This window comes from Homo sapiens, chromosome 11, assembly GCF_000001405.40.
Source record: "Homo sapiens chromosome 11, GRCh38.p14 Primary Assembly".
Classification (NCBI taxonomy): Eukaryota; Metazoa; Chordata; class Mammalia; order Primates; family Hominidae; genus Homo; species Homo sapiens.
In genome coordinates, this window is record NC_000011.10 from 34,458,602 (window position 1) to 34,473,173 (window position 14,572).

Consider the following 14,572-nt stretch of genomic DNA (forward strand, 5'->3'; position numbering starts at 1 on the left):
AGGCATGAAATTGTCATGGGCAGAGCAGAGGCTGCATAACCCTGGTTACCCAGGGAGGGAACGGATTGAGGAATACAAGGTTACCTAAACTCTTTTCACAAGAATCCAAGTCACCATGGGTCTCTGGAACCACAGTGGGACCGTGAGGCAGTCAGCAGCACTGAGTCATATAATTTGAAGAACAATGAAGATTTGAATGGAGAACTAGGCCCCCGGGAAAAGGACTGCAAAGCAAATACGTATTCTCTACATTCCTAAGAAAGCAAATGTCTAAGGCAGCTATTCAAACAGTGGGGAAGAGAGTTCTGAAAAAGGATGACAAGTAGAAAGTAATATAATTTCTGTTAGTATTAATTTTAGTTCTGGCAAATATATCTATTTTAAATTCAGTGTACTCTTTATAGGTTGTTTTTTTTTTAAATGAGTTTTAGAAACTGTTCGAAAGAGCTTTCATAAGTTTGTCGAGTTATTGTTTCTAGCCTAGCTTTCCCCCATCCTTCTTAGGTCATTTAGCTATCAGTTCCAATACCATGGAGCCTGTGAGGAGCCATACAGTTGGGGAAGGACTGTTGTACTCATTTAGCCATTTGGTGACCATTAAGGAATGATTTGAGATTTTTTGAGTAGGTGAGTAGGGAATATGTAGATTGTCTTGTTGGACAGGAAGTGGAAAGCCAGTTAGGGGGGCTTTGGGGTTATTCCTGCTGAGAGCTCATGAGTATTGTAGCCTAGGCAGTGGCGGTTGATATATTAATGGGCAGTGTTTACAGGTGCCTTTTAACAAGGTCATGTTATTAAGTTTTATAACTTTATCCAAAGTGGTGAGCCACACCATGGTGAAATGGACAAATAATATAATACAAGTCATAGAGAGACTGTCCTGTCCCCTGAGTACCTGAGGACACAGGTGCAGCCTTTCTTGCTCTCATTCTCTGCATTTTGCCAAGAGTTGGAGAAGTTGGGCCGGTTGCTTGGGTGGGAAAGGCTTTCCCACTCACGCAGGTCCAGCAAGGGAGTTCAGGCACAGGGCCTTGGGGAAGGCCTAGATTCAAGCTGGTGTCAGGGTATGGCCTCACTGTGCCCATTTCCCAACCTTTGTTGGTCTCCACCCATAGGTGGGGTAAGGTTGCCTGATAAACACAGGGTGACACAAAATCAGAATTAGGTGATAGAGGCTACATCCAGGAGCTGCCCATGGCAGGATTGTATCTCCTATCCTGTTGATGGAGTCAAGAGCACAACTTTTTGAGCCAAAGGAGACAACCAGCTTCCAACCTATAGCTGAGTTTTGGTCATGGCCGCATGGCTAGTCATCTAAATATGACCTTAGGCTATTTGAAATGATGATAAGAGGGAGTCATTCAGCCAAAAGCAAAATATTGACAGAACACTGGGACTGGATTAAGTCTGTTGGTATCAGTGATTTGGAACAAAGTTATTGCTTAAGTTGCCCTATTCAATTTGGTTTTTATTTTGCCTCATAGAATTAGGGATATAAAAATACTTTTAAGGTTCAAGGCCAATGATAAATTCAATGGAAGAAAAATTGCTCATAGAAAAGGAGTATGAATAATGAGAATAGTTCAATAATTAGATATTAAGATTAATGCAGAATTTATCATAAAGCTTTTGTTTGAGCATTAACTGAAAGAAATTTCAAGATGCTTGCCATCTTTGCCTTGATTAACATGGAACATAATTTAATCTTAGATTGATTACCTTTGGCATTGTAGGGCTTTCATTTTGAACCACAGATTTTTTGTTATTGTTGTTTATATCTAGAAAGTCTCAGAGCTCAAAGTGTTTCTGAGATAATTCAGAAGGCAGCATGGGAGTGGGCGGTACTTTTTTTTTTTTTTTTTTTTTTTTTCTGATCTTGCTTTGTTGCCCAGGCTGGATTGCAGTGACACGATTGCAGCTCACTGCTGCCTCAATCCCCTGGGCCAAGCAGTCCTCCCACTTCAGCCTGTTGGAGTAGCTGGGACTACAGGCACATGCCACCATGCTCGGCTAATGTTTTAATTTTTTTTTTTGTAGAGACAGGTCTCGCTGTGTTGCCCAGGCTGGTCTCAAACTCCTGGGCCCAAGCGATCCTCTCACCTTGGCCTTCCAGAGTGCTGGGATTATAATAGGCATGGGCCACTGTGCCCAGTTGGAAGTGCTTATTTGAAGAATTTCCCATGCTGTTGGTTTTGTAGAAATGTGTTGCTTTTTGTAAAGAGCAAATGATTGGTTCCTTCCCTGGAGTGGGGGAATGAGGAGGAATAGAATTAATTCAATATTTCAGTTAGTTAACGTTCTAGCACATTTATTTTATAATGCAATACTTCCTTGGGAATAGGAAGTAATACTGTATAAGACAAGACACTAACTTGTTATGCAGAAGGAAAAAAAAAAGATATTATTACCAAAAACAGATGTGAAGATTTATGGTTGGCCAGAGGGCCTGGGAAATTCAGAACTGTTCAGTTAGGGAGAACTCGTTTCATAAGAGTAGAGGCTTCACTCTTAAGTAGCGGGAAAGGCAGAATTTTGTGGTAACCATGTACAGAGTGCTTTGTACTTCAAATTTCAGAATGAAGTTTACAGCCCATTCCTATGTTATATGTTACTGCCCCTAGTCAGTGTCTATTGTATTTATTACTGCAGGGCCGCCTTTTTGCCTATCCTGACACTCACCGCCATCGCCTGGGACCCAATTATCTTCATATACCTGTGAACTGTCCCTACCGTGCTCGAGTGGCCAACTACCAGCGTGACGGCCCGATGTGCATGCAGGACAATCAGGGTAGGCCTAAAGACGTTGGGCTCCCCCTGCGTGGGCAGAGGGCACGTGGAGCAGATGGGCGGGAGGCCAGGCCAGTGGCTCTCAAGCTGGCCCCGCAGGACCTCCTGCTTGGTAAAGGTGCTCCCCAGGTGCTGCTAACTGGGCGCTTTTTTGCCCAGCAGTGAAGATTTAGGCTGCCTGAGGACTCTCCATGCTTTTTATCTATTTTATATATTTTATTGAGCATTTCCACCTCAGATGTTACTTGTATCCAGTAGTTAAAAGCAGGGAGAAAGATCTTTCACACTGGCTAGAGTACAGTAACATCCAGCTTGGGAGTTAGGTTTTGAAGACACTTCACCAAAATGGACAATTCCTTAACTCACTGTGAAATCACCAAGACTTAGACCCTTGGAAGTGCGAAAGCCAAGAGTTGGAGTCTTCTGTTTCTCTTTGCAGTTCTGCTGTGGCCCTGGAGGAGCAGGTCTAGCTAGAATTTGGAGGGGAGCTAGAATTAGCAGGGAAGGCTGGGGAGAAGAGAGTAGGGGAGGCAGAGCAAGTCAAAGGATTCCCCTCCCTTCATTTTTTCCTAAGTGAATAAAGTTAGGTGAATCAACTTACCACTTTTTGTTTTTTGGAACTCATTTATCAAACTTAGGATCTTTTTCTTTTAACTACTTTTTTTTTGGTGTCGTATACAAACAGCCTCTGGTTCTAATTACTTTTTCTAATAAGTCAAGCAGAATGCTTGATTAAAGTTTTTTCCTTTTACTATTCCACAGTTTAATATAGATCTTAGTTATTTTCTTTTCCCATTTAGGACACGTGTTTTAGTAATATAGACTGCATGCATTGATCCCTTTAGAAATTTTACTGATGATTTATATTTATAGCCACAGATGTCTATATTCAAACAAAGTTTATTTTTCTATGATAAAAATAATACAAGTGTCCTAAAGAAAATTTGGAATATATAGGAAAAAGAAGAAAAAAGAAAAATTCCCATATAGTCCCAACACCCAAAGGTCATAGCTATTACATTTTGCTATATTTATTTATCTATTTATTTATTTTTTAGACAGAGTCTCACTCTGTTGCCCAGGCTGGAGTGCAGTGCATGATCTTGGCTCACTGCAGCCTCTGCCTCTGGGTTCAAGAGATTCTCATGCCTCAGCCTCCCGAGTAGCTGGAAGTATAGGAGTGTGCCACCACGCCAGCTAATTTTTGTATTTTTAGTAGAGACAGGGTTTCATTGGCCAGGCTGGTCCTGAACTCTTGACCTCAGGTGACCCACCCACTTTGGCCCCCCAAAGTGCTGAGATTACAGGCATGAGCCACCGCGCCTGGCTTGATTGTAAAAGTAGAGCATTTGGGCTGTGACCCTGAAGCTCAGTGAAAGAGCTTAATTGTTCCTGTGGTCAGTGCTTTAAAGACAACTACCACTTTGAGTAAAGGTCAGGGCTCATTTGGAAGTAGGATTTTAAAAATTAACTAGGCACATTTCAAAGAGCTAGTTCTTAATGAAGAAAACACTGTGATGGCTGGTTTTTGGAGCATTTTGCTTTTCATGTAGATGTGACTGATCTGTTGAATTTGTTGAGTGAATAATTGGGCTCTATAATAGTATGGTGTTCTTCCTTCCCCTACACACACACTTGGTGTCTTGATGAATGTCATACATAGGCACCTCTTGATTATCCACTGTGGATAATCTATTACGGCAGTGAGCTGGCTAAAATTCCAACCCCAGATTGGTTTGCTCAAACCACTTAATATGTTTCTGGGCCACTCCTGTTTAGGCAGTGTGTGCTCGGGTAATGAAAGCTTCTGCTAATGTCAGCCAAAGCATAGTTGAGAAAATAAATATGCTAAAACGAAAAAAAAGCCTTATAATTTATTTCAAAAGTCATAGAAAATATTTTGATTGTATTTGTCACTGTTTCTTATAAGTCCAGATAAGTAAGTGCTGATATACAATTACCACATTTTAAAAAATTCTTTGTTTATTGGTCTGTGGAGGGTATGAAAGTGAAGCTACAATGGAACAAAGTCATCATTGTCAGTAAAGGAGAGATACCCTGAGAATCCTAAAAACACTTTACGGAATAGCAAAGTAGAGTTCTGTAATGGAAATACTGTATATGCTGGGCTGGAGGAGACAAAAAACCCAGAGTTCCAACCCCATATCTACCACTGGCTACCGTGTGACCTTGCAGCAGTCAGGTCCCATCACAGAGCTCCATGCTTGTGTCTGTAGATTCAAGGAGCAGAACCAGAACTTTCAGATTTCCCTCAAGAATTTTGTGATGCAGTGTTTGAATTGAGCCCAAGTCCAAATGACACAATTTTTCAAGTCAATTTTGAAATGTGTCTTTGAGCCTCATCCCTATATGGTGGCCAAATCAAGCCTGTATAAACTTCTACATGTGCTGTACCCCTCAGAAGACTTGATAGATGAGACCCTTTGAAGTGTCAAAAGGGACTTTGAGATTCATTCATAAAGTGCGGCAGCCTGTGCAAGCATTTAGCAGATGGCAGCGTTCCCTAAGAATCTTCATACTACCTGTAGCTAAATGCGGGAAATTAAAAATAATATGTGTGCGTTGTGTTTATATCTGTGTATGTGTACGTGTGTATTTGATTACCACTTGAATTTATTTCTCATCACAGTGATTATTTGCAGACTTACTTGACTTTTCTTATTCCTAAGTGCATCTGGGTGGTTTTGTTTTGAAGGTGGTGCTCCAAATTACTACCCCAACAGCTTTGGTGCTCCGGAACAACAGCCTTCTGCCCTGGAGCACAGCATCCAATATTCTGGAGAAGTGCGGAGATTCAACACTGCCAATGATGATAACGTTACTCAGGTAATGACTTCTCTTTATCTGCTATGGAAGTCACCTGCTAATTCTCCTTGTCAATGCCTGCATAATCCCCCTCCCTGCAAATGCCCCAACTGTCTGATGTATCTTAAATTGAATTCAAGGAAGACTCATCTGTAATAGTAAATTGGGCCCCTTACTGGGTGGAGTTGAAGGGTTATATTACTCTGGTCTTTTGCCTCAAAGCATGCAGACTCCGTCTCAGTTTCTTCAAACTTTATTGAAGGGATATGGGGAGGGGGCATTGGGGAAACAGTTATCTCATGGGAATTTAAGAAATGAGCATGTACAGCTTACGTGGAGACAAATCTAAGAATCTGGGCAGGACAGTCCAGGTTCAAGGACTAGAACTAGAGATCCAAAATAGCTCCAGGAGCCTCGGCCACAAGAGTGTGGGCGTTTCCACTGCAGGGCTCGTCCTTCACGTGGCTTATTCTCCATCTGTCTGCTTCTGCTTGCCAATGCTAATTGATTATTTTTACCACAGCTTCCTGTTTTCTCCTATCTGCGTCAGAGCTTCTGTTTTATCATGGTTGTGGCTCTTCCACAACAATGGAAAACTCTCCTTTATGGCGTCTTTCTCCATTATTACTTTTTTTTTTTGGACCACCTTTTACTCCTTCTCTCAACATGTCTATCTCTAGATTCTAGAGAGATGGAATCCTATTGACTTGGCTAATCTTTTCACCCCAGGTTGCACCATTGGCCTTGGTCAGGCTCTAGTTAACCGCCCCAGGGCAAATGCTCATCCTCTTTCCAGTTGCCTATGGCTGCCCTAAGAGCTGTTTCAGCACATGCTATGAAGGAGGCCCTTGGACTTGGAAGGGCTGTAGGTGGGCAGCTGCCTCCTTAATGTGTCCAGTGCAACTTATACCACACACAATAAAATAATAAAGTTAAAGGTATAGTTGTTCTAGAGCTCTGTTTGAGCAGTTAGTGTTAAACTTAGTATTTAAATTAGATTAGAACCTATTTCTAGTTTCTCAGTTTGTGAATGTGGGTTCCAAGTAAAAAATACTTATACATGAATTAATTCGCTGTGAGGATATCTTTGCTTGAAAAGCATTTACGTATATACATATATACGTATATATAAAAAAGAAATTACATTATTGTGGGATATAAACCATTTTTAGATGAGCTTAAAACATTTCCTGCATACCTTTTATGTAACTGCATTATTTTTGGTGATGCAGATGACACCAAGTATATTACAGTACATTCCCTGCCTCTCAAAGAATTTTGCCTATGTGAGGTCAATACAGGTATTAAACCAGCTCATACAACCCCTGCAAAAATTAATGAGGCTATTGCTTACACATGAAAATTTATTATGTGCTCATTCTTATTGAGAGAATTTCTTATCACTATATAGGATATAGTGTGGTTTTTAAGTAATCACAATACTATTGTTATAGATTCATAGCATAATTCTGTGATGATGTATCACATGGGAAATACATAAGAAGGTCCAGATTTATTCTCTTAAAAATGATTCACTTGGGCTTGCATCTGTCTATGGCAGACTAGCTTGTATCTTACTTACCGTTTCATGGAGAACATTGAAAAGGTAGGTAAAATACATAAAGCACTTGTTTGAAGGCTTTGGAGAGCTAACAAAGCAACAAGGATTTAAGGGACCAAGATCAAAGATGGAAAAGAAGTGCAGGAAAAAAAAGTGCAGTGAAGTAAGCTTGACATTTGGTTTCCTTTCCTCTTAAGGTATTTGTTAATTTGTAAGCACTGGTCCAGAAGCTGAGTGGTGTTTACAGCAGTCTCATGAGTCTGAAGGGACAAAAATTGGAATTCAAGGTCTGCTAAGAAGCAGAGCCTCTAGTTATACTCAAGGCTTTCAGTTGAAATCCTTAAAGGGCCATGCCTAGGAATAAGGGCAAACATGAAATAAACTTGCTTTCACAATACAGGAAACATAACTTTGCCTCTGCTCAGTCTCAGATTGGATTAAGGTGATCTCTTTCTACGCCATCTGTCAGAAGCAAACAAAATTTTCTTTGGTGGAAAATAGAAACTCAAATGATTCTAGACCTTTTTATATGGAAATGTTCAGCATTCAACAATAAATGACCAGGCACCTAACACATTAAGACCTTATGACTGAAAATCAAGAGGGAGAAAAAACCCCCTACAAACTGACAGTAGAAACAAACCTAATGGAGGCTTAAATAATGGAACTGTCAGATACAGGTTTTAAAATGACTGATTAATAGGTTTGAGAAAATAGATGGGCTGGGCGCGGTGGCTCACGCCTGTAATCCCAGCACTTTGGGAGGCTGAGGTGGGCGGATCACGAGGTCAGGAGATCAAGACCATCCTGGCTAACACGGTGAAACCCCGTCTCTACTAAAAATACAAAAAAAAAATTAGCCGGGCGTGGTGGCGGGCGCCTGTAGTCCCAGCTACTCAGGAGGCTGAGGCAGGAGAATGGCGTGAACCCGGGAGGCGGAGCTTGCAGTGAGCCGAGATCGCGCCACTGCACTCCAGCCTGGGCGACAGAGCGAGACTCCGTCTCAAAAAAAAAAAAAAAAAAAAAAAAGAAAATAGATGACTGCTTGAAGAATTTAGTAAGAGAACTTTAAGCTATAGAAAAAGAGTTGAATGGACATAACTAGAAAATGTAACAACTGAAATTAGAATTTAATAGATGGCTTTTAAAGGAGGTTAACATGGCTGAAGAGAAGATTAGTGAATTGGAAGATAGAACAATAGATGTTATCAAGACTACTTCATCTGATGAGTCATAGTGAAAAATTAGAATACATACAAGGAAATCCAATGAGAAATTACACATGCAATAATAGATGGAAGAATCATAGACATGATAATTGGAAAGAGGCTTTAAAATAAACATACATATTTAAAGAGATGCAAAAAAGGAATATTATTAAGACAATAGGATATGAGGAGAAAAACAGGTAGATTTGAAAAATAACCAAATAATATTTTCTAGAAACAAAAATTACAATCTGTGAAATAAAAAGTCAACAGATATAGTGACCCAGTCGATGTTTTCACGCAATATGTCAAATACAGCTGAAGAGAGAATTAGTGAATTGGAGATAGGTCTGAGGAAATCCCCAGGATATAGTACTTTGATTAGATTGTGTTAATCGAAAATGTCTGATTAACTTTGGTATCAGGTTTAAACTTTACTCAAAAATTTAAAAACATAATTATAGCCTGATATTTGATGACTTATGGAAATGATGCATCTCTTAATATTTTATGAAGTTGATACTTTGGATAATTGGATATTATTGGACTTCATAAACATTAATAGAACAGCACGTAGAACAGAGTCTCGCACATTATAGATACTCAATATTTGTTGAATGAGTGGAATGAATGAATGAAATGTAAGAATAAAATCATAGCTACAACCTTTTGATTTCAGAATGGGGCAGAGGCTGCTCGGATTCACATATCTGATACTAAGCTCCTATTTTTCATTTTAATTTATGGATATTTATTTTAGAGGTCAACCCAATAATCTAGCAAAATATCACTATTAATATGTCTTGCTTAAGAAATATTGGCTTCTGAATAACTACAGATACACATGTATAAATGAGGTAGTTTTTTAGATGTCTATATATAGATATAATTATCTATATATCAAATTATATCTCTAGCTAAATTAGTTAATTTTCCTCCATGGTTCTGGGAGAATTGAACAAAGGTATTGTGCTAAGTTTACATTCAAAGGCAGCTTGCACATTTTAGACTTGTCAGTATTAAGAATGTGGTGAGGTTTTAAATTGTAGATCTATTTATAAGAGATTTATAGCAGTTACTATAAAGGATATTATTAGAAAGCAGGTATGAGCTATTAACAAATGAATTTTACTTATTTTGCTTAAAACAAAAAGTGAAGGACACAACCCAAATTTAAAATTTAAAATTATTCTTAACTTCTAAAGTTTTTTTTATCATTGATTTCCTAAGTGTTGTAGTAGGTGAATTTTGTTGGTGATAAACTGGTGATTCAATTCTCTGCACTTGCTCTTTTCTCTGAGCAGGTGCGGGCATTCTATGTGAACGTGCTGAATGAGGAACAGAGGAAACGTCTGTGTGAGAACATTGCCGGCCACCTGAAGGATGCACAAATTTTCATCCAGAAGAAAGCGGTGAGTCTTTGTAAGCTGAAGGGTGTCCTCTGCTGGCTAAGGAAGACAGTGCAGCTGTGTGGGAGAACCCTAAAAAGAAAGTGCCATTTCTGTTTTACTTGACTTAAGAGAACTTAAAAAAAAAAAAATAAACTAGTAATCCCCAACCAACTTCTGATTATTTTCTTTCCATGTTTTATCTGGTCTGGCATATCCATCGTCCTTAGCTGTTTGTCCAGTGTGTACTAATTTAGTTGTGTTCAGACTGAATTTTGTCCTATTCTGTTTAATTCAGCTGCAGCCAAGTTCTGTGCAAGATAGTAAATGTGCAATATCAAAATGTGAGTCCTGCTGCAATTCTACTTAAACTTTGGATGATAATAAATATATCAGCCGGTGTGATGGCATGCACCTGTAGTCCTAGCTACTTAGGAGGTTGAGATGGGAGGATCGCTTGAGCCCAGGAATACAGGGCCAGCCTGGACAACATAGGGAGACCCTGTCTCTAAAATCAGTCAATCAGTCAATCAGTCTGTCTTTCTTTTTTGCATTTTTATGGTTTAAAACCTGCCTAAAGGCTTAATGTCATAATACCTCGATCCTCCTTCAGATGCAGACTAGAAATTTGCATGATTTCTGGAATAAGAACTGCAATGCTTCCAAAAGGCAGGCTAGACTTTCATGCTAAGGTGCTGGGGTATTTCTGATGGCCGCTCATCGAGCTGAGTGAAGCCCTCTCACTTCTGGTTTCCTGGCCTGTCCCAGAGCTAAGCTTTTTGCAAATCTAGAAATCCCCCTTTTTCCTTGGCCCCTAGTTGCTGCTTCTCAGTTCCTAGGGGCAGCTGGGCTAGCAGCTGTCTGGGCTGTGTCCCAGAGCCTGGGTTCCAGTATCAGCAGAGAGCTTGACAGGCGCTCTGTGTGGTAGGCAGGGCAGGATTTATCTCCTTTTACTGGAGAGAATGGATACGACAGCTTGTAAATAGCAGAACTGGGCTGGAACCCTTGGCATTCTCCTTTCACATATGCTGAAACTGTAAGGCTTTTATGGGTTCCCAATGCCCTGCCTCCTCTTGCTGTCCACTGGGGAATTCCTGCCTGAAGTGTGTGGAGTTGTGCTGCATGTACCAGTGTTCTTGTATCCTTCACATTAACTTTAGGCTGTGTCTGGGCCCGTTTCTCAATGTAAATCACTGTAATTTGTTAAGCGCTTACTCTGAGGTCAGCTCTTTTCATGCAGTAAATGCACCTCACTTCTCAGCATTTTTCTCACAGCATCCTGTGAGGTAGGTTGTGTGGGTTTTTTTTTTTTAAGATGGAGTCTTGTTCTGTCACCCAGGCTGGACTGCAGTGGCATGATCTCGGCTCACTGCAACCTCTGCCTCCTGGGTTCAAGAGATTTTCCTGCCTCAGCCTCCCCAGTAGCTTGGACTACAGGCATGCCCCACCATGCCCGACTAATTTTTGTGTTTTTAGTAGAGATGGGGTTTTGCCATGTTAACCAGGCTGGTCTTGAACTACTGACCTCAGGTGATCCACCCATCTTGGCCTCCCAAAGTGCTGGGATTTCGGGCGTGAGCCACTGCGCCTGGCCTAGGTTGTATGGGTTTTTTTCCCCGACAATAAGCAATTCTGTAATTCTTTGACAGTAACTGTGTGTCCTATAACTCAATTCAATTCTAACAGTAGCTCCTGGAGCTAGAGTCAGAACCCAAAGATTTAGGGGTCATTTCCCACTTTAGATAACAAATGAGGTACCCTGGCTATGCACACTTCTGCAGATTCTGACTGCAAATCAAACCCTTTCCTCAGGTTTGATAATTTGCTGGAAAGACTCATAGAACTCAGGAAAATGATTTACTTATGATTACCAATTTATTATAAAGAATACAACTCAGGAATAGACAAATGGAAGAGGGGCATGGGGGAAGGCCTCGGAGCTTCTGTGCCTCCCTGAGTGGACCACCCTTCTAGCTCCTGGATGTGTGCACTAATCCAGACACTCCCTGACCTTGCCAGTTGTGGGTTTTTCTGGAGGTTTTATGACATAGGCATGATTGATGAAATTATTGGCTATGGGTGATTGAATACAATCTCCAGCCCCTCTCCCATCCCTGGAGGTTTGGGGGTGGGGCTAGAAGTTCTAACCTTCTGATCGCGTGCTTGTTCTTCCTGGTGTGAGCCTCCATCAGGAATCTATGTAGGCCCCCATGAATCATCTTAGTAGTATATAAAAGACAGTACATTCGAAGGGTTTTAGATCTGTGTCAGGAATGGGGGACAAAGACCAAATAGTATTTTTAAAATTATACTGATTAGGTGTCATTTTCTTGCGCATTTCGGCAGAGGGACATAAGCTCAGTAAGTTAAGTGACCTATCCGAGGTTGCTCAGCCAGTATATGTCAGAGTGTTCACTGGACCTGCATCTTAACTCTGAGGCTGGCATTGTTAAACACCTGTAGTACTGCCTCCTGCTGAAACGTCTTTCCTCCCCTATGGAATAAACACTGGGAAACCACAGTCCCTGGGGAGTGATATAGTAGGGAGTTAGAGTAATGCTTGCATTTATTTTCCTTTGGCCTTAGGTCAAGAACTTCACTGAGGTCCACCCTGACTACGGGAGCCACATCCAGGCTCTTCTGGACAAGTACAATGCTGAGAAGCCTAAGGTAAGCTGGGAGCAGCCTGGCCATGCAGAGGCTGTGTGTGCTGGGTTGGAGTAGGCATGACTTAGTTACCACTTAGCATTACAGTCTGCAGGGGCCATTACCTGCCACTGTTAGATTTCTTAGGCAGCTGTGCAGAAATTCATTTGAGAGATAAAGAATTCACTGGCAAAACACATACTCTTCATTTTAGCGCTGGGCAATTTAAGACAGTTAAAGTGAATGAATTCTGAATTATTATTTTCATTTGCATACATATTAAAACTGAGTAAATATCACGTTGCTGCCCATGAGGTGATTAACCTGCTCATCTTGTTCTTTTAAAACAGAATGCGATTCACACCTTTGTGCAGTCCGGATCTCACTTGGCGGCAAGGGAGAAGGCAAATCTGTGAGGCCGGGGCCCTGCACCTGTGCAGCGAAGCTTAGCGTTCATCCGTGTAACCCGCTCATCACTGGATGAAGATTCTCCTGTGCTAGATGTGCAAATGCAAGCTAGTGGCTTCAAAATAGAGAATCCCACTTTCTATAGCAGATTGTGTAACAATTTTAATGCTATTTCCCCAGGGGAAAATGAAGGTTAGGATTTAACAGTCATTTAAAAAAAAAATTTGTTTTGACGGATGATTGGATTATTCATTTAAAATGATTAGAAGGCAAGTTTCTAGCTAGAAATATGATTTTATTTGACAAAATTTGTTGAAATTATGTATGTTTACATATCACCTCATGGCCTATTATATTAAAATATGGCTATAAATATATAAAAAGAAAAGATAAAGATGATCTACTCAGAAATTTTTATTTTTCTAAGGTTCTCATAGGAAAAGTACATTTAATACAGCAGTGTCATCAGAAGATAACTTGAGCACCGTCATGGCTTAATGTTTATTCCTGATAATAATTGATCAAATTCATTTTTTTCACTGGAGTTACATTAATGTTAATTCAGCACTGATTTCACAACAGATCAATTTGTAATTGCTTACATTTTTACAATAAATAATCTGTACGTAAGAACAGAGATGGTATTTTCTTTCTTTCGACTCCATATGTAACTGTAAACTGCTACCAGACTCTTAATTTGAACATCATCATTTTCAGATGTTTACCCTTAAAAATGGAAATGCCAGTATCTCGAGGACTCCATGTTATTTGTTTAAATCTATAGCCTTTGGACAGCCTTCTGAGACACTGATAAAATAGCAAATGCCCCAACTTTGAAAATTACTTAAATCTCTTGTCCATTTGCTCACTTACCTGTGATTGACTTTTTAAAACAAGGGCTCAGAACCACTGGTCACTTTCCTCTTCCTTCTTTTTAAAGCCCATATTTGCCTATCATGGTTGAAAATCACATGGAAGACTTTAAAGATGAGTTCTGAATACTAAATGAAAATTTGTTTTCCTTGAAAATCTTTATTCCGTTCATATTCAAAACCAGTTTGTGCCGGGTGTGGTGGCTCATATGCCTGTAAACCCAGCACTTTGGGAAGCCAAGGCAGGAGGATCACTTGAACTCAGGAGTTTGAGACCAGCCGGGGCAACATGGCGAAGCCCTGTCTGTACAAAAAATACAAAAATTAGCCGAGTATGGTAACGCATGCCTGTAGTCCCAGTTACTAGGGAGGCTGAGGCGGGAGGATCTCTTGAGCCCAGGAGGTTGAGGCTGCAGTGAGTCGTGATTGCACCACTGCACTCCAGTCTGGGCAACAGAGTGAGACCTTGTCTGAAAACAACAACAATAACAACTAAAAACAAAAAACCAAACCAGTTTATACTTTCAGGAGTTCCTGAGTTACGGGCTTCAGGAAACAGACCACTAGCAGACAGATACAAACTCATTCTTGGTCTTTTAGCTCAAATTTCTTTACTCCTCTGTCAAACCCTCCTGCCTAATTCCCCCCGTATTTGAGTATGCTTTGAGACTGTTATATTTGTAGACATAGAAAATAGATATATCGGGCTGGGTGCAGTGGCTCACGCCTGTAAACCCAGCACTTTGGGAGGCCAAGGCGGGTGGAACACCTGAGGTCAGGAGTTTGAGATCAGCCTGGCCAACGTGGTGAAACCCCATTTCTACTAAAAATACAAAAATTAGCTGGGTGTGGTGGCATGTGCGTGTAATCCCAGCT

General features: G+C 40.6%; 1 protein-coding gene across 1 annotated transcript in view; it reads left to right on the forward strand.

Moving 5' to 3' along the window:
- The window catches only part of CAT (catalase), a 33,127-nt gene extending 19,668 nt beyond the window's left edge, over window positions 1–13,459 (forward strand). The window contains exons 9-13 of the mRNA NM_001752.4: window positions 2,650–2,788; window positions 5,504–5,634; window positions 9,687–9,794; window positions 12,357–12,440; window positions 12,767–13,459. Of these exons, the coding sequence (NP_001743.1) occupies window positions 2,650–2,788; window positions 5,504–5,634; window positions 9,687–9,794; window positions 12,357–12,440; window positions 12,767–12,832 (528 nt within the window). The 3' untranslated portion in view covers window positions 12,833–13,459. The remainder of the gene's footprint in view (window positions 1–2,649; window positions 2,789–5,503; window positions 5,635–9,686; window positions 9,795–12,356; window positions 12,441–12,766) is intronic.